We start from the raw sequence: 18,850 nt of genomic DNA, 5'->3' as shown, positions 1-18,850 counted from the left end.
TGACTCCGTGGTAGTGGTGCCCTTGATCAGATGCAAGCGCAGAGGAAGGACGGATGTAAGCGTAGGTGGGGAGTGGGGTAGAGAGATCGGGAGCTCACTCTTGGTCTTGCTAAGTTTGAGTGCTTGAGGAACTTTCAGGTCAAGGACAGATCCAGCTTTCATAGGGCCCTAACATTCTTGCCAGTTGGAAGTCCCTCTTTAAGAAAACAAATAGAAAATTACAAATACCAAGTGAGGTACGAGACCATAGGGGGAGCCCCTGCAAGGGAGCATGCGGACGCTTGAGCTTCGATAACTTCCCAGCCTGCTCCTGCCTCATGGCAGATATCTCAGGCTGTCCTGTCCTCTTTCATGTCTCCATGCTGTGTCTTCCTTGGTGTCAGAAAGGCCCCAAGTCCTCCTCTCTCAGCCATAGGCTTATCATCTTGTTTTGACTGTGAGAGCTAATTAAGTTAATCCAAGAGTTACCTTAGTGTGATGTCTGGAAAGACCCATACACCTAAGGCGTGCCTTCTGATTTTCTCACAGAAAAAGTTACCCTGCTACCTCTTCTAACACACAAGAGAAACTGAATGAAAAAGCCACAAAGGGCTTGTATGGGATGAGGGCCCCAGTCTGTGATCACTACCCATGGCAGAAAGAGGATGAAAAGATACTCTCTCCATTTAGATTGTCAACAGGACTTGGTAGCTGTGTATATAATGGGCATAGCACTTCCAACTTTTCCTGTTATTAAGGAGTTCTGGGGAACTACTTTACCTAAAGTCCCTCACTGAGAACAAAATTTTGAAACCAAATTTAAGTGGTTTCTGAATAGAGATTACAAGTGGTTTCGTACCAGCAAGTAAATGTAAGGCAGTATATTTAAATAATTATCCCTTTACTACTTGCGAAGTGAGTTCGGTAGATGGGAGTGGAGAAGAGAACCTTAGAATCATTGTTTAGTCTTCATCTTTCACAGCTCAGGCTGAAGGCCTTTCCTTGCTGAGAGGTAAGTGCTGACGCCACCAGGGTAAGGGTGTATTTGGGGAAATGCACAGAAGCCCCTTCTTGTCCTTTTTTGTCCTCTCTTCTGCTGTTGCGCCTTGGCCTCTGGAACCCCAAACTGCAGAGCCTTGCCCTCCCACCCTAGGTGCTCCTGAGCTCCACTGCCACTCATCTTTTTTCACTGCCAGAACTTAACAGTTTCTGCATGTGAATGACCTCAGCTAGATGTTACGTTCTTATCTGATTGTAAAAAATCACACTATGGTAAAAATAGCTAATAGACTTGTATCTGCTAAAGGGTATTTGCATTTTGGAGGGGAGTTGTTAACTGAGGGTGGCACTGGAGGTGAATATGGAAGGTTTGGGGGCATTTTGTCATTCATTTCCAAGCTGCAGAACAAATGGAGTCTGTATGCCAGCCCATCTCTGTGCATGAGTTTCAATTTTTATTTCGAGTGAGGAGAATGATTTTACCTCATTTTTCTTCTTTCTTTTTTCAAGTATGTGACAGTTTTCTTGAGCAAATTTCAAATGTTTAACTGTGGAGGGCATGAGATTTTTAATGGTGTCCTACCGTGCTGTATCTTGCCACCTGCAAGCCACCCTCTACTAAGCTACTCTGCCAAGCAAGCCCTCAGGAGGAGAAGTTTGGGAATCTAGCACCTTGCTTTGAAAGGAGCTGAAAACATCAGCAGATTGCATTGCTGGTCCTAACATCCTGGGGCCTTGTGAAGAGAGGACAGGAAGATACTGCTTTCTCATTCAGATGCATGACCTGCTGGGGTTCTGCATTCTGTTCAGAACTGAGTGTTGCATCTTCAGAAGGACACATCAGGGCAGGAGAAGACTCAGAGAAGGGCTGTGAAAAGGATTGTGGCATATTTATAATGAGAGTTGGTGATAGGAGCCCCTTCTGCGTGTATTTTCTCCCAGATCCCAGAATCAGATCAGGTCATCTTGCTTTTACCAAACTGATTTAGGGGGTCAGGTAGGTTGAGTATTAAGGCAGGCAGAGCCCTAAACATTTTAGCTACTCCCCAAAAGTGTATATCGTCTTATTGTTGCTTTCTTCTTCTTCTTTTTTTCTTTTTTTAACCAGTTCTTTGCCAAATAACAAGGCAGGGAGTGGTCATGGTGCCTGGGAACTTTGGTGCAAGAGATTTGATACTGAATTTCCGTTTTCACTTTTCACCCTTAGCATTCAACCACCTTTTGGACTGGGCTGTTGTGTTACAGAAGGATACAGGCTTCTGTCCAAATCATACTCTTTGTGACCAGTTTTGTAAAACAAGTGGAAACGCTGATAGTTTGTGCAGATGCATGTTTATCTGAAAAATGCTGGACACCATCCAAAGGCAAAGTATGCAGGAATGGTCTTAATTTTAAAAACAACCTCTCTGTGCATCAGTAATTTAAACCCTTTTCCATTTTTATAATTTTTGAATCGCCCTCTTTCTGTTAAAAAAGAAACATGAAAAGAAAGAAACACTGAGGATAAGTTTTAGTACTGTTTATGTTGTCTGTCCTGCAACCCCAGACACGCAGGACTTGGCTCAAATCAGGCAACTGGAGAATTCAGGAGAAGGCCAGATGATCTGGAAACAAGCAAGGGAAATCATCATTCAAGAAATCCTTCTATTAGGAAATGAGATTTTAAAAGCCAATTTAAAACTATTTTTGCTTTTCTTGTTAAAAGAAGGGTTGTTTTGGTATCCTCTCATTAGTCACCTTCCAGAGAGAGAGAGAGAGAGAGTGTGTGTGTGTGTGTGTGTGTGTGTGCGCGTGCATGCGTGCACACATCTGTTCATAAGCTGCTCCTATGACCTGTGTTCCAGGTCACACACTCACCCTCTGAACATGTGAACAAGAAGATTAATTAGTTGGAAAGACTATTCAAGGAACTCAGGGAATCGCCACACTGGGCTTTTATTCCCCACATCTGCAGTGTCTTAGCCTCCATTGCCAGTGACTCTCTGAAGTTTGGGTTAGGTCTTTTTATCTCAAGAGTCAAAGGGGGAGATGATACAAATCATTGACTTCCTGTCACCCTGTTATCTGTGGTTAGGTGATTCACGTAGCAAAAGTGTGATCCGAGCTTGCTTCCCTTTCTCCAGCCCCAAGGACACTATGGTTGGCTTCCTCCACCACCCACTTATTGTGAGTTTGGGGTTGCAAACTAATTTTGACAGTAGCCCAAAGTGAAACACCATTAGGAAGATGAGCCTGGTTGCTCAGACCCACAGGGAAATCTGGAAGGCCTTGGATTGTCTGTGCCTTCGCCTCTCTCCATGACTATATGGTAATCATTGGAGGGTGAGATGAGGGGTCCCAACGAGTCTGTGCCTAGACTTTAGCAGTTGGACGATTAGGGGCCATGCAGCCTAATCTCAGCCCCATTTGAGAATGTTGCTCCTCTGTGCCTGGGTGGGTGATGGATTGGAAGAGGCCAGGTGGGTAGGGTAGGGGCTGACCTGGACCATGCTTCCTGTACCACAAGACTTCCTCATTCATGGATTTCACCAAGTCTCTTGGTTCGGAAATTCTTAAAAGGGTTTTGGAAGCTTGGTGTGAGACTCTGCCCGGATCATTCAGATGGAAACCAAGGCCATGAGTGCTGTAAGTGCATCCGAGGTTAAAAAGGATTTTCGAGTGCTCCACACATAATTGGTGCCAGGTGTTTCCCATTTGTCTCTATGCCTAGACAAATAATCAGTCTTAGTGGATACCCAGAGGGTGAGCAGAGTTTGCATCTTGAGGGTAGGGTGGGTCCTACCTTCAGGGGCTTCCACTTCATTTAGTGAATTGAGACATGTGCGCTGTGGGTGTCTGGGTGCCCGGACCTTGCTGCCCTGTCTGGCTTCTCTGATGATGCATGCCTGCCAGCTGCCATCACCCTTGCCCCAAGGCTCCACTGTCTATCCCGGCCCCACCTCAGCTGTTCTCATCTGTGACTCATTCACAGAGGTCCACCAAGTACAGAGGAAAAGCTGAGGAGAATGGCAGGTGTCACATGCATGACACCCTCACCATCACCCTGGAGATGTTTCTGTGGTTTGCAGCAAATCTTGGAAGAGCAGAATGGCCTCAGCCCTAGTCTGAGAAAATCCTCAGGGCTTTTACAGAGATGATCCTGGGGACTTAGGAGAATCTGCTGTGTTGGTCAAGGGTGGGGCTGGGCCAGTGCCACACTTTGGCAGAACAGACCTCTCGTTAGCTACGGGGCTGGAAAGCAGCATGCTTCTCAGTTATTCTCCCAGAATCCCCACATGGAAATGTTTTCTATTGTATAACAAAGATGCACAAAGTCAGGGGGTGACTGGAGTATTCCTGACCAGCCAGGGCTGGAATTGCAAGCCAGCAATGCACAGAGACAGGAAAATAATTCCCACAAAGAACAGTGAAGGCTGCCCATGGCAATCCCTGGAAATAGTCTGATGTGGATGGAGTGAGGGAAGGAAGTGTTGAGAGACCAACAAAGGATATCAAAAGAGTGGGTGGTTTTGAAGACAAACCTCATTTCACATCGCTACTGGTCTGCTCTTCTTTCACATGTGGCAAATAGGAATCTAGTGGTCAGCCAGGAGACTTACTGTCATGCCCTTGAGAGAGGTCTTCTTTACAGATGTTTAGGCAAAGCAACTCTGAGGTGCGGGGCTCAGCAGGACTGAGCTGGTCAAATAAAAGGCTTTAGTTAGAAATTTGAGCTGAATTGGTAAGTTCTTTTTTACTCCAAGTTTTCTTATTGTTTGCCTCTGGGCGTGGGGTGGGCGAACCCTGCCTGAATAACCAGAGGAAAGTGAGGTGATCCACAGAGGGCCACAGCTCAGTGATTTTACAGTGTTCGCTTTAGTTCCTGAGACGTGTGGGCCTGCAGGCAGCAGACACAGGTGCCCTGCGAAGCGGCGTGTTCTAGGGTAAGTGCGCTGTGAGTGTCTGCTGCACACATTGACTACACATTCGAGAAGCCCTCTTTTCCCTCTTTTCCACTGTCCTCTTGTAGAAACCCTGGATAGTCAGCACATCTCCCAATACTCCTTTCCCATTCAGGTTGTGAGAGGGGAGCACATGTCTTTTCTTGTCTTCTTTCTGTTATGCCAGCTGAGGAATGAGTACCGATTGGACTTAGTATGCAAGGAGTTTCTTTGGATTTCAGAAGATCCGCATTTTTGGGGTAAAACTATGCTGTTTGCTTTACCATTGGCAGAGCAACTTACTTCCAAGTTATTATAATAAGAAATATAAACAATAAAACCAAGGAAGGTAAAGGATTAGATCAGGAGTGCCCAATCTTTTGGCTTCCCTGGGCCACACTGGAAGAAGAAGAATTGTCCTGGGCCACACATAAAATACACTAACACTAGTGATAGCTGATGAGCTTTTAAAAAATTGCAAAACTCATAATGTTTTAAGAAAGTGAAAGTTTACGAATTTGTGTTGGGCTGCATTCAAAGCCATCCTGGGCCACATATGGCCCTGGGCCGTGGATTGGACAAGCTTGGATTAGATTATCCCCTCCAGGTCAGAAATTCTTTGATTTTGAAATAGATTATTGGAATATATGGGTAATGTAAGGACCTGTAAGGCACAGTCCAGTTGGAATGTGAAATATACATTTGTGAAGAGTTAGTTATATAATATTAGTATTGATCTTAGCTCTAGATGGCTTACAAGGTATAACATAAGTCAGCTAGTGATGAATTGCTGTTAGTACTACTCGGGATCTGGAAAAAGATGTGTGACCGCTGTCTTAGTTGTGTTCTGCTTTGTGCCGTGGACACTGTGAGTGAGAAGGATGGGTTGTGGTAATTACGAGCAGCACTTGTATTACTGAGGGCTCCATCCTTGGCCAGCATCCTCTTTTTAGGTGATGACATTCACTTTCATTGTTGTAGCCACCACCTGTCTATATGTGGTCATCTCTGTTTGCATCTGAAGGCCTATACCTCATCCCAGTGCGTATATGTCCATATGCCATCTGCTATTTAAAGCCCTTTGGTGGCTTTCCATTTAGCTCAGGTTGAAATACACAATCCTCAATATGCCTGCCATGGCTAACAAGGCCCAATATGATCTGCACCGTGCTTACCCTACTGGGCTCATCGTGTGCTGTTCTCCCCTGGACCACTGCACTGAATGGGCCACTGTTCAGCTGCTCAAAGAGGGCAAACTATTCTGCGCTTCAGGGCCTTTGCACATGCTATTTCCTCACCCCTCAATTTGCACTAACTCAGCCACTATTCAGAATTCACTCCTCCTTCTAGCCATGTTTAAAAGTATCTTCCGGCCGGGCGCAGTGGCTCACACCTGTAATCCCAGCACTTTGGGAGGCCTAGACGGGCGGATCACAAGGTGAGGAGATCGAGACCATCCTGGCTAACACGCTGAAACCCCGTCTCTACTGAAAATACAAAAAATTAGCCGGGCGTGGTGGCAGGTGCCTGTAGTCCCAGCTACTCGGGAGGCTGAGGCAGGAGAATGGTGTGAACTCGGGGGGCGGAGCTTGCAGTGAGCCGAGATCGCGCCACTGTACTCCAGCCTGGGGGACAGAGCGAGACTCTGTCTCAAAAAAAAAAAAAAAAAAAAAGTATCTTCCTCAAAGGAGGCTTATTTAACCTGAGACTAGTTACGCATCCTCTACTTTTCTTTCATTGCACTTAACACAATTGTAAATAAACTAGTAATCGTGTTGCTAGTTGTTTACTGGTTGATTTCATTGTGGTCTCTGAGTATGCTTGTAGAAAGCCTGGTCAGCACATCTCCCAATACTCCTTCCTTCCAGCCTGCTTGCTGGTGTATATGATGAACCACTGTAATGTTTTTACTTCACACGACACCCCAGCATTAGCTTTTCATGAGTGAAATAAATTAATAGAAACAGTCTGCAAACAAAGATTTCCTCGGGAACGGTGTTTTGTTTCTGTCATGGTGTGACTTGGAGTCTGTAATGACTGATGGGCCTGCACATGTGTCTATCTAGCAGATACACTTCTAACAGCACAATTCACATCCTTTTGATTTTTTTCCCATGCGTACATTTCTTTAGAGCACCTGGGTTGTTTATGCAATTTCCTGTTTGTCAAAGGGTAATAACCATACCTCACGAACTTAGAATTTTTCACTCGTTTACAATTTAAAGTGAACAGAAAAGTAAAACTTAAGTGTTTAATATTTTTGAGCTTCTAGAATATTTTAATATGTAATAATTATATATTTGACACAAAGAATTGGTTACCATATATATGTTCTTAATTTTTTTGTAGAAGTCATACAAAAGAATGTATGGAAAGAAAGGGGAAGCGGAATTACCACTTGATATACAGACAAAAAAGACATTTTACTAGGAGCACAATTAAGAGGAAGGAACAATGAATTAATTGATCTTGATCAAGGATATAATTATATATTAGATATATAATTACATAATATATACACTCATATCTGATTATATATGAGTAACACAATTATATGTAAATGTAGGATGAATACACTGAACTCTCTGGACACACATTCCTTTGTCACAGAAGAAGATTCAAATTTGAAAAGTAATTCTCCCGGTAGGATTGGTGCTGCATTTCTCAGCCTTAGCACTGTTGACATTTTGGGCTGGATAATTCTTTGTTGAGGGGGCCGGTTTCTGTATTATACCATGTTTGGCAGCATCCTTGGCCCTACCCAGTATATGGCAGGTACAACCCCCCTTCTGCAAGTCATGACAGCCAAAAATGCTTCCAGATAGTGCCACATTCCCTGCTGGAGGGTAAAATCACCCCCAGTGGGGAACCACTAGATTAGAATACCTGATGCTTCAGGTTACAAAGGAGAAGTGCTCAAACAAGCCCAAGTGGGCAGAACAGCTTCTGTCCTAGGAGATGGTAGGCACCCCAGCTTCTGTTGGGACTCACGCCAACAGCCCTTCACCTGCAGTAGACTTTTCTAAAGTAGATAAAGTCTAGTCCATTGATTATTTTTTTATTTTAAAGTTTTTTTATTTTAATATATTTCTTATTCTTTAAGGACCATCCCAAACCCAGCTTTGCAAGGAGCTCTTCCTTCAATCACACATTTACTCCTGTGAATTGGATTGCCCGCAATCTCACATTACAACTTGATGATACTAAGGTTTATTGTTGATAGTAATGTCATAATATTTTTTTCTCTTTGAAGTACAACTTATTTACTTCCTTGAATTTTCAACATAAGCAAATTTCACATATTAGATAATTCTAACTACAGTGAGAGAAAACATTTAATAAACTTTAAAAACCAAAACTTTTATTTATTATTTACAATATAAACTTTATTTACAAACTTTATTTATTTTTATTTTTTGAGACGGAGTCTCGCTCTGTCACCCATGCTGGAGTGCAGTGACGCAATCTCAGCTTACTGCAAGCTCCGCCTCCCGGGTTCACGCCATTCTCCTGCCTCAGCCTCCAGGGACTACAGGTGCCCGCCACCACCTAGTGGAAGTATTCCTAGTGAAGACATGTTGTTTTCCATAGTTACTGCCTTCCTTCACTGATCACAAGCCCATCAGTCTTTCCTTTCTTTATCATGGTTTGTTATTTCTGATTGCTTCTCTCCAAGACAGCCACCTAAAATAATAGACACTCTCATGTAAATTATACACATCTTCCTAGGAACAGTTTAAAAAATTTCCTACCTCTCAAAGGCTGCTGTGAAGTAGATTTGAAGGCGAATGTTACTCTGCTTAAATTGTTTCTCATGTCACATAATGAGATAACAACATATGGGTAGAGAATCTGAGAATTAGGAATTTGGAGTCTCATACGGGGTCCGTAATGATCAAGTTACCATATTATGCCCCTGTCATTTACCCAGGAATTGTGCCGGTAATTGAAGTATTAACTACCAGATACCCATATTTACTTTGGAGTAATTATTTTTATTACTGCATATGCTGTGGAAAAGAGGCTGTGTTTTACACTTCTCATTGAGGAGGCAGAGTCCATACTCCTGACTAAGACTGCAGCTGTCTTCATTCTGATTCCACCTACCTTTCTGTCTTTTTCTCCTGCTTTGCCATGCTGGGGGTGCTGCTTCATCTAAAGTCTTGCTGTTTCCCAAACACACCATGCTCTTTCAGACTTCCACACCTTTCTGGATATGTACTTCCTTTTTGCTTGAACACCTTTTACTCTCTTCACTGCTTCAGAACGTCTTGCTTATTCTTTAAGACTTTGCTTTTCAAGTTTGCTCCCTGAGCCAGCAGCATCAGGAGAGCTGTGGATTCTCAGCTGCTGTATTAGTCCATTCTCATGCTGCTAATAAAGACATACCTGAGACTGTAATTTATAAAGGAAAGAGGTTTAATGGACTCACAGTTCCACATGGCTGGAGAAGCCTCACAATCATGGTGGAAGGCGAAGGAAAAGCAAAGGCACATCTTATGTGGCGGCAGGCAAGTGGGGTGTGCTGGGGAACTCCCTTTTATTAAACCATCAGATCTCATGAGACTTACTCATGAGAACAGCAGGGGAAAAACCTGGCCCCATGATTCACTTACTTCCCACCGGATCTCTCCCATGACACGTGAGGATTATTACAATTTAAGGTGAGATTTGGGTTTAGACACAGAGCCAAACCATATCAGCTGCATTCTAGACCCGCTGAGTAGACCTACCCAACTGAAGGGAAGCTGGGAGGGGAGGCTCATGGTAGCTCCGAGGAGGGCCTGGGGGAGATCGGAGTGCCCTTAAGGGGCTGACACTCCCACATAGACCATCTGGGTCTTCTGAGAGGGTCAGAAGAGGGCCCAGTGGGCTGTTTTAACAAGCTCTCTAAATGATCCTGACATGATAAGAGTTTGGGAACCACCACCTTTTAGACACCATTCAAATAGCACCCCATCTCCTGAAGCTTATCCTGATAACTCCTCAACAGGTAGTCAGCCATCCCTCCTGTTGGGGCATTTTTTTTTTTTTCACTGTATTGGTTAGGCAGGGTAGGCTAACTGCTGTAGCTTCACACTGTACAGTTTTATTTCTCATGTGTGACACGATCTCACCAGGTGTACATGCGGTGGTCTTCCATGTGATGATGTAGGAGCCTGGCTTCTTACCTCTGTGGCTCCTGTGTAGCCAGGGCCTCAGGCTCCTCCAGATTCCCTGCATCCAGTGGCCCCACAGGTGGGGAGAAAGCAAGGATCATCAAGCAGCATGTTCCTTGACTGTGCCTGGTCTCTGCGACCTTATTATTATTTTTTTTTACTTTTTTCTTGGGCCAGAACCTAGTGACGTAGTTTCAGCCTAACTGCCAAGGAGATTGGAAAGTCGACTGCCTAGGAAGAAGAGACAGGATTGGGGATTGCCTAGTCCAACACTTTCCACTAAAAATATAATATTTTTATATATGTATATATGTAATTTATATTTATATATAATTTTACATTTTCTGCTAGCTATATTAAAAACCATAAAAAACAGATAAAATCAGTTTTACTAATATATTTTATTTAACCCAGTATATTCAAATATTATTCAATAAGTAATCAATAAAAAAACTCTTAAGATATTTTACATTCTTTTTGTCACACAGAGTCTTTGAAACCCAGTGTGTATAGCACATCCAGGTTCAACTAGGCAAATCTCGAGTAGCCCCGTGTGGCTAGTGGCTACCATATTGGCCAGCACAGGTCTAGCTACTCCTGTCACACTTGTTATTGAAATTACTTGTTTGCGGCCGAGTGCGGTGGCTCGCGCCTGTAATCCCAGCACTTTGGGAGGCCGAGGCAGGAGCATCACGAGGTCAGGAGTTCAAGACCAGCCTGGTCAACATGGTGAGACCACGTCTCTACTAAAAATACGAAAATCAGCCGGGCATGGTGGTGCATGCCTATAGTCTTAGCTACTGGGGAGGCTGAGGCAAAGAATCAACGTGAACCCAGGAGGCGGAGGTTGTGGTGAGCCAAAATCATGCCACTGCACTCCAGCCTGGGTAACAAAGCGAAACTCCATCTCAAAAAAAAAAAGAAATTACTTGTTTGCATCCCTTTTAGTCCACTTTCAGACATCGTACTCTTGAACTAGATTGTGTGTTCCTTATTTCCCAAACCTTGTGCAGCGCTCTGTGGTTAAGAAATGCTTGCTGAGTGATTAGCAAGGAAGGAATTTAATGCATGAATCCATCCATTAATGAATGGATTAATGAGTAAATACAGGAGAGCATTCCGCATTCCTTTTGGTTCTTTTGACTACTTTAGTGAGAGTCCTAAGGTGTTCTCTTTTGTGATAAGTGCTGGGTTGCATACAGTATGACAAAATTAGTATAGTAGAAGGATAAAGTGAGCCCATTAACTGGGGTGCTCATATGTATTGCTGAATTGCAGAGTTTGGGCTGAAAAGAACTTGACCATGGGATTGTCTGTCCTCATTTTTGTGGATGTGTGTCCCTGAGATAAGTGGAAACATGGAGGTGGCACACCAGCCTTGGGGAGCAAATCCCCCAGCACTTGTGGTCGCCTTAAGTCTCTTGCAATTAATCTAGAAGTCTCATGTTTTTCCCCAAATTAATGAAGAGCTATAAGCTGTAGTAGTATGTGCTGCAGTTATTTCAAAATGAGTTGTTGGGGAACGTGTTATTTAACATACTCTCAATTGTAAAATGCTGCCAAACAAAACTTGCTTAAGATTTTTTATTTTACCGTCTTTTCTTCAAGTCTTATACCAGGGAATAGACAAGCTCATGAAAGTTATATCAATACAGTGTCTGAGTAACAGATTCTGTTTAAAAGGAAAATAATAGTACATTAAGTCTGTAACACTGGATGGGGCATTATTTTCATTGCAGTGAATTGTGAAGAATGCATACGGAAGACGTGACTTCTGCATTTTTTTCCTCTTATGGTGGAGAGAAAGGAAAACCTTAGAAATGCCTTTACTCTTCTCTAAACAGATTGGTTCATTGCTTTTAGTTACCATCCTATGATGGTCACACATTTGAACTTGAATTTCAAGAGCTTGTAACTGAGGCTGTGAGCAACTAAGGCTTTTGTGACTGAATTGTAGGCAGCAGAACACTAGGGTTGGTTTTGTTCTGGGAAAGTATACTGCTAAGCAAGTGTTTCAATATGTGATCACACAATTACAAATATTTGAAAGATGTGTGAATATTGTACTGCTCTGTAGACCCTTTCTTATTGGTTTGAAATTGAAAGGCATTTTACTTGAGCATGGAAGGAGGAGTGGGGGAAGAGGGGGAATGGTGATTCTAAGACTTTGTATAGCATGAACCCTATATAAAATTTTCTTTTTTCTAAAAAAGTCAGTTAAATAGAAAATGATCAGTCATTAATGAGTCAACGTCTACCATGGCATTTGGAATAAGGCTAAGGTGTGTGTTCTGTCCTGTGGAGGATGGTAAACTTTTGGCTTCAATCTCTACCCCACTCCACCTCTCACTTTCAGCCAAATACCCTCATATGTGTCATATCTGTGCAGAGATATTTCTGGGAACCCATTCGTGTTTCCTTGTCTTGGATCTGTGTTTAAACATTGTGGGTGTTCTTCCTGTATCTTAAGTTATATTAAGATCAGTGATTCCGAAACATGGGTGGGTAAAAGCCTGCAGCATAGGTCTCACCTGGGAAGTTGTGCAAAATTCAGATCCTTGAGGCTCAGTTCAGGATTCCGATTCAGAAGTTCTGGGTGAGGTCCTGGAATCTGTATTATCATTATTATTATTATTATTATTATTATTATTATCATCATCATCATCATCATCATCATCATCATTATTATTAATTTTCAAGCTCCCAAAATGACTTGAGGCAGAACTAGGTTTGGCAACCCTTACAAGACAGGGGTCTTGGCTTCACCTCACTTTTGCTGGAGTACCAAGGAGGAAAATATTCTTTGGGATGGAATATTCTGGAGGGTCTCATGAAAGAGGAGAACCTTCCAAGGTGAGTAGGCATTTGACAGGTTAAGATCAGGAAGAGGTGGGCGAACATTGCAGATTGACAGCATTTCTGGAGACATGAGGTGAGGCTTCAGGAGGCAACACAGTGTTCTTACTGCAAAGGTTTGAGGCAGGGAGTGGTGAGGAAGGGCCAGGGTGTGTCAGCCCTGAAGACAGTGGCTGAAGGGTGGCCCCGGGCCAGTGGTTGCCGTTCAGCACATGGGGATGCCGTCCTACCCTGGGAGCGAGATCTCCAGATTCCTTCCCCACTTCTTTCACGGGGGAATTAATGTGGGAGGAGGAATCCCTGCTCTTGCATCTGCATTTCCTCTTTTCCTCCCTCTGTTCAATACTTTTCAACCATGAGGAGCTTCATTTATGTGTGCACAAGAAAATAAAATAAAAAAGGTTTCAATACAGTAGGGTTTGGGTCCTCTGCCCAGATTGCCCTGTATTACTTATCTTCTAAAGAAGAAGAACGTTGAGCTTCAGTTTTAAGTCTTTATAGTAACAGTGGATGGTATTTGAAGATCTGGTCACTTGTACCTTTAAAAATGGGTGTTGATTTTGTCTGTCTGGTCAAGGAATGTAAAAATTACCTCTAAAGAATCTGTTTAAAGTAGTTCTGCCACGTGACAGCTCTGACCTTGAACCGGTTCTTTAACTTCTGTGTCTCGCTGTCCTCCTTTGTAAAATAAGAGACCTGTCTCAGGGTGGACGGAGGACCAGATACAGTGCTTATCCCAGTACCACTGGAACTTGAGGCAAAAGAAAATAACTTGGAATACTGTTCCTATCTTTATTTCAAGTTTTGACTGTTTATCATGGCTTTTGGAAGGTATTATTTTTAAATTTAAGTATTTCATTAAAATAGTATCTCAGTTACTGAGTTTTTAGTGCTCTTGTATATTTTGTTCCCGAAATGAATACCTCGCTCACCTGCCTCTGGTCCCAGCTCTGAAGGAGGCACCCTGTAAGCATTTGCTACTTTCCTGGACATTATTTTAAAATACTTCCCAAGTGGTAATAAATAACTTAAAAATTTTTTTTAAAGTGCCTAAAGTAATTGATACTTTTAAAGGAAAATTTTAAATATACAGATAAGTAGAAAGAAGGGAAAATAAAAGCCATTTGTTTCACATTTCTGACACACTACTGTTAACATTAAATTTTTTTAATGTTTTTATTTTTTAAATTTAAAAAAAATTTTATATGCTGTTATCTTTTAATACTTTCAGGCCTTGGACAACTCTCCAATATTTTTTGTGGCTCTCCCAAAGGAGATATATGCTCAAAAAGGAGACAAAATTATGTTTGAAACAAAACTTAAAAATATTTGGATCTATTATTTACCAGTTATGTTAATTTTGGAACATAACTCCAAAGCATAGTAACTATGTGAACTTTTGATAAGCTATTTAATTCATAAGAGCATCGAGGGTTAAATTGAACTGAATTGAATAAGGATGTATGTCAAGTGTGTGTGCAGGGGTCCCTTAAATGTTTTTCTTGCTCACCTGTGGCAGTTATAATAAAAAAGTATTGACTTCTAGCTTTAGGTCTTGGCAAAGCCTAAATGGAAGAGCGTGTCTGGAGAGTTCTTAAATGCTTATGTAACATCGTAAACCTCACTTGTTTTGTATTTAACCTCCTGTTTTTGAAACGACAGAAGGGCTTAAGACCTAGCTCTTTGTAGATGGGCCAGTGGAATGTTCATATCCACCAATGTTCAAGTTTTCAGAGTTTGATTAAACGTCTCGCTGTCTTTTTTAACCACACTTTTCTTAGAAGAGTTTTTTTCTTTGTTCAGGAGGGGAAGATGAAACCCGTTGTGTTACATGTATAATTCTTTTTAAAATTTTATGTTGACAAATAATTGTATATATTTATGGGATACAATGTGATGTTTTGATACGTGTTTACATTGTGGAATGATTATATCAAGCTAATATTTATCACCTGACACTTTAATCAATTTTTTTGTGATGAGAACATTTAAAATCAAATCTTTAAGCAATTTGAAAGTTATTTGGAAATGTAACAGAAACCCATTGATGGTGGTGGTGGTGGTGGCGGTGGTGGTGGTGAAGATGGTGATGGTGCTGCAGTGACCTTTGGTCTTTTAATAAAGCTGCTGAACAGTCTAAGATTACTTCTAAGTTATATGATGTGTGCTTTGATTTGACAGCAGAGAGAAGGGAGGCTTTGATGGCCTTCCTTAGCATTCACCCTCCTCACCTGCCATGTTTATATCTCCAACTCTAGTCACCTTTATTTGTAGCATATCTACCTGTGAATAAGTTTAATTTAGTTTACTTACATATTTTACAAGCACCCAGGGGGAAAAGTTTGACTTCTTAGGACGTGTGGCCCAGGAATAACAACGTGTGAGCCCCTAAAACTATCTGGCAGTGTTTTCTATTTCTTGGCGGTCTCTTAAGTTCACATAGGAAATCAGTTACAATGAGCTTGGAGGAAATAGAAGGCCCTCCTCTAGGCAGCAGGATGAGAAAGGGATACATCATCTTTGCTGCTGATGATATTATTTTATGGAAGGGATATAACCTATTGCTTTTTAGAAGAGGGGACTTCCAGATGATTGTTGGGGAGCTGTTATTACTATACACGGTCATTGTCTTCTAAATGCAAACTAAATTCAGCCAGAAGTGCTAGGGGAAATGCTACAATTCCCTTTGTAAAGTTTCTGGTGGACTTTACCCTTGTAACCTGAGAGTGTGTTCCTTTTTGCAGAAGTACGAGTCTAGAGTTGGCCTGGCGGCCTGTCCCCTCCACCCCCGATGCTAGATAGCTAATTGCTGTGAACTGTGACACTGCGACTCCTGCCAGCTTGGTCCATCTCCATCACCTATAAATTGAGATGGTCCACCAGCTTTGCACCTTGTAAGCACTGAAGGAACTTGCTTTAAGTAAGTTTAACATACAAATATAAGGTCTACAAAACCAATGAACTTGAAGGGCGGCAATTTGTGTTTTCCGCTAGGTTGCTTTGGGAGCTGGACAGGGAGAAGTGAACAAAAGAACATTTGTCTTTTAGTTATACTTGAATGATGCATTTTATTTAGAAAGGAAAACTTGAGCGCTTTTTAAAAAGTTTTGATCATGTTTTTCACGAAGAATACATTCTCTGGCCCTTAACCTCAGCATTTGTGATGTAGTGAGGAAAGTGAGAAAATTCTAGCTTGTGAACTCCTGTGATAAATCATACCAAAGTGAGGCACCTTCATCATTTATTCTAGAAGCAAGCATTTATGGATTGCCTACTGTGTACACAATACTGTGCCGGGCGTGGGGTGGGGTAGGGGGATAGCCCCCTGCCCTCCTCACCAGCGCTCAAAGCTGAGGAAGGGAGATAAAACAGTTACAGATCACGCGAAACAAGATTGAGGCCAGGTTTTGGTAACCCATACCAGGAGTTTAGTTTCCTGAGAAAAATCCCAGGCACATTATGTTTCTCTTGGCTTTGTAAGTTTCCATCTCTAAAATAAATTATTGACATTAGCTAACTGAATTATTGTTATCACGATCAAAATAAATTGATAGTTTACAGAAAAACCGTTGGTGTCCAGAGCTTAACAGCCCCATTTCCAAACTGAGAGGATCCTGAGCCTTCAGTAAATTCATTCAATGTATATTTTCTCAGCACCTGTAGTGTTTTAGGACCTGGGAACACAGCAATGAACAAAACAGGCAAAAATGCTGCCCTCGTGGAGCTTTCTACCTGCGGGTAGGGAAGGTTAGACAGACATTAAATAAGAAAAGTAGAATAGGATGCCAGATGGTGATAGAGCCTATGGAAAAATGAAGGCCGGGAAATGGGGGAGGATGTTACAGGTGGGGGTGGGGCTGTCTTTAATGAGAAGCTTCTTAAACCTTCCATGGCTGCAGACAGAGCCTTCTCTAAACAGTGGGATGTGTCCTTCGTCAGCCTGACTCTCCCATCTTAGCTTCCTCATCTGGAAACAGAGGTTTCTTTAGGGACTGCCCCCTGCTGTGCCAGTGCTGTGGGTTTTCCCAGAGCTGAGAGCGCAGGCCCCACCCCCCCAACTGCCCACCCCCCTGCCCCCATAGTCTTCTTCACTGATAGCACGTTATAGTTCTGTTATGTTCTTGTTGTCTGCTGGCTCCTTGGCTCAGCCCCTGCTCTGTTGGAAATGAGAATCTGACATGTTTAGAAAGATACCCACTTTTTTGTCTTTGTGTTTTTCTTTTGTATATAGTAGGTCAGTGCATTCCATTGAGTGGTTTGTTTTTCCCCAGATATTATCAATAAGGAAAGTTCTCATACTTAATATTATAGATATATAGAGCTGGAAAGATTTTTTTGGTGTAAGTCCTTCATTTTACAGGTAAAGTCTGTGGGGCCCAGAGAGGTGAAGTGACTTTTTCTAATGTCACACAGCTGTTGTGGGGCATAGTGAGTGGCTAGAACCCCAGCATGAGCTTCCTCTATACCATTATCTCATAATCCAGCTCACTGATTTCTGACTAAAGAAGTGATGAAAGCTTTTGCAGAAAACTTGCAGAATATAGAAGACTTTAGAGAGAAAAAGAATCACTAATAGTACCATGTACCAGAGGTAATCAGTAGTTACATTCTGTTGTATTTTTTTTAGTCTTGTGTGTGTGATAGTGTGAGCATTTTCTCAATGTCCTTTAAAGTTCTTAGAAAACAGTTTTTATTGGTTATGTTATTTGCCCTGTTTTGGAGATACAACTATTGAATTCGAGTTGTCCAACTGGCATTAGGCTTCAAATGATCCATTTACTGACTTGTGTCAACAAATGAGTAGACTGTGCACATGTTGACACTGCTGATTGGCATCCACTGGTTGTTTGTTTACCTCATGCCTGATGTTTAAATTCCTGTTGTTACCCCTCCTTAAATAGAATGTGAACCTGCCCATGGGAAGAGATTTGTACCACAGAACTTTGGTTGGCTCTCTAGCTCCTCACTCCAGGCCTCGGTCTCCTTGTTCTATGAGTGAAGGACCTTCCAATGGTCCCTTTTCTGAGAACTAGGTGAACTCCCTTGGCCTTTCTTTAGGAAACTCACAGACATACAATTTCATATGTAATTTTAGAGGGTTTGTGGACCACCTTCCCTAACATTCAGCCTTGGATTCTGGGCTAAGAGACACTAGACTAGGTGATAATGTGGATTACATTTCTGTGACTATTTGATTAAATCTGTAATGATAAAAAATAATTGAGGAGGCCGGGCACAGTGGCTCACACCTGTAATCACAGCACTTTGGGAGGCCGAGGTGGGTGGATCACCTGAGGTCAGGAGTTCGAGACCAGCCTGGCCTACATGGTGAAACTCTGTCTCTACTGAAAATACAAAAATTACCCACCCGTGGTGGTGGGCACCTGTAATCCCAACTACTCGGGAGGCTGAGGATGGAGAATCACTTGAACCCAGGAGGCAGAGGTTGCAGTGAGCCGAGGTCATGCCACTGCACTCCAGCCTGGGTGACAGAGTGAGACTCCATCTCAAAAAAAAAAATAATAATAATAATAATTGAGGAGGGCATGAGACTTTATATCAGATGTATCTTTTCCTATATTAACTCTTCTAAGAGGCCCTAAGGGTTGTGGTCGAGAAACTGTCTCCCCCTCCCACCACTGGCTGCCACCACATCTTCTCTTGCTGTATGTAGCTTTCTCTCCTCCCTCGCTGGCTCTTTCCTGCCTCACTCCCTGAATCAGTTGTCTGCAGTGCCGTTCTGCTCTCTGTTTTGCTGCCTGTCTTGCTGTCTTCCATGCTTTTGTCTTTCTCAGAAGGCAGATCATTTTCGGGCCCCTTTTCTTTGGCCAGCAAGCTGACCAGCAACAGTATACTGCGGAAAATCTTTAGTCATTTGTTTTCTTTTGCATTTTTTCTTAATTTCTACTTATTGTTTCTACTTCCCCAGAACAAGAG

The 18,850-nt window shown here is 42.4% G+C and overlaps 1 protein-coding gene across 17 annotated transcripts in view, besides 2 other annotated features; it reads left to right on the top strand.

The window, feature by feature from the left end:
• The window catches only part of DOCK9 (dedicator of cytokinesis 9), a 295,191-nt gene that overhangs the window by 86,563 nt on the left and 189,778 nt on the right, over nt 1-18,850 (top strand). The window lies entirely within an intron of this gene.
• Nucleotides 7,486-7,987: an enhancer, noted in NCBI's record as "NANOG hESC enhancer chr13:99646324-99646825 (GRCh37/hg19 assembly coordinates)". NCBI's record gives its function as "activates a minimal SCP1, AML or CMV promoter by ChIP-STARR-seq in primed H9 embryonic stem cells {active_cell/tissue: H9 hESC(primed)}" and the evidence as "EXISTENCE:reporter gene assay evidence [ECO:0000049][PMID:30033119]".
• Nucleotides 8,829-10,028: an enhancer, noted in NCBI's record as "CDK7 strongly-dependent group 2 enhancer chr13:99644283-99645482 (GRCh37/hg19 assembly coordinates)". NCBI's record gives its function as "activates an origin of replication core promoter dependent on BRD2, BRD4, P300/CBP, MED14 and CDK7 cofactors, with strong dependence on CDK7, by STARR-seq in HCT116 cells {active_cell/tissue: HCT116}" and the evidence as "EXISTENCE:reporter gene assay evidence [ECO:0000049][PMID:35650434]".

Source organism: Homo sapiens, chromosome 13, assembly GCF_000001405.40.
Source record: "Homo sapiens chromosome 13, GRCh38.p14 Primary Assembly".
Classification (NCBI taxonomy): Eukaryota; Metazoa; Chordata; class Mammalia; order Primates; family Hominidae; genus Homo; species Homo sapiens.
The sequence above is the reverse complement of the archived record's forward strand: the minus strand, read 5'-3'. Positions and strand labels throughout refer to the sequence as shown.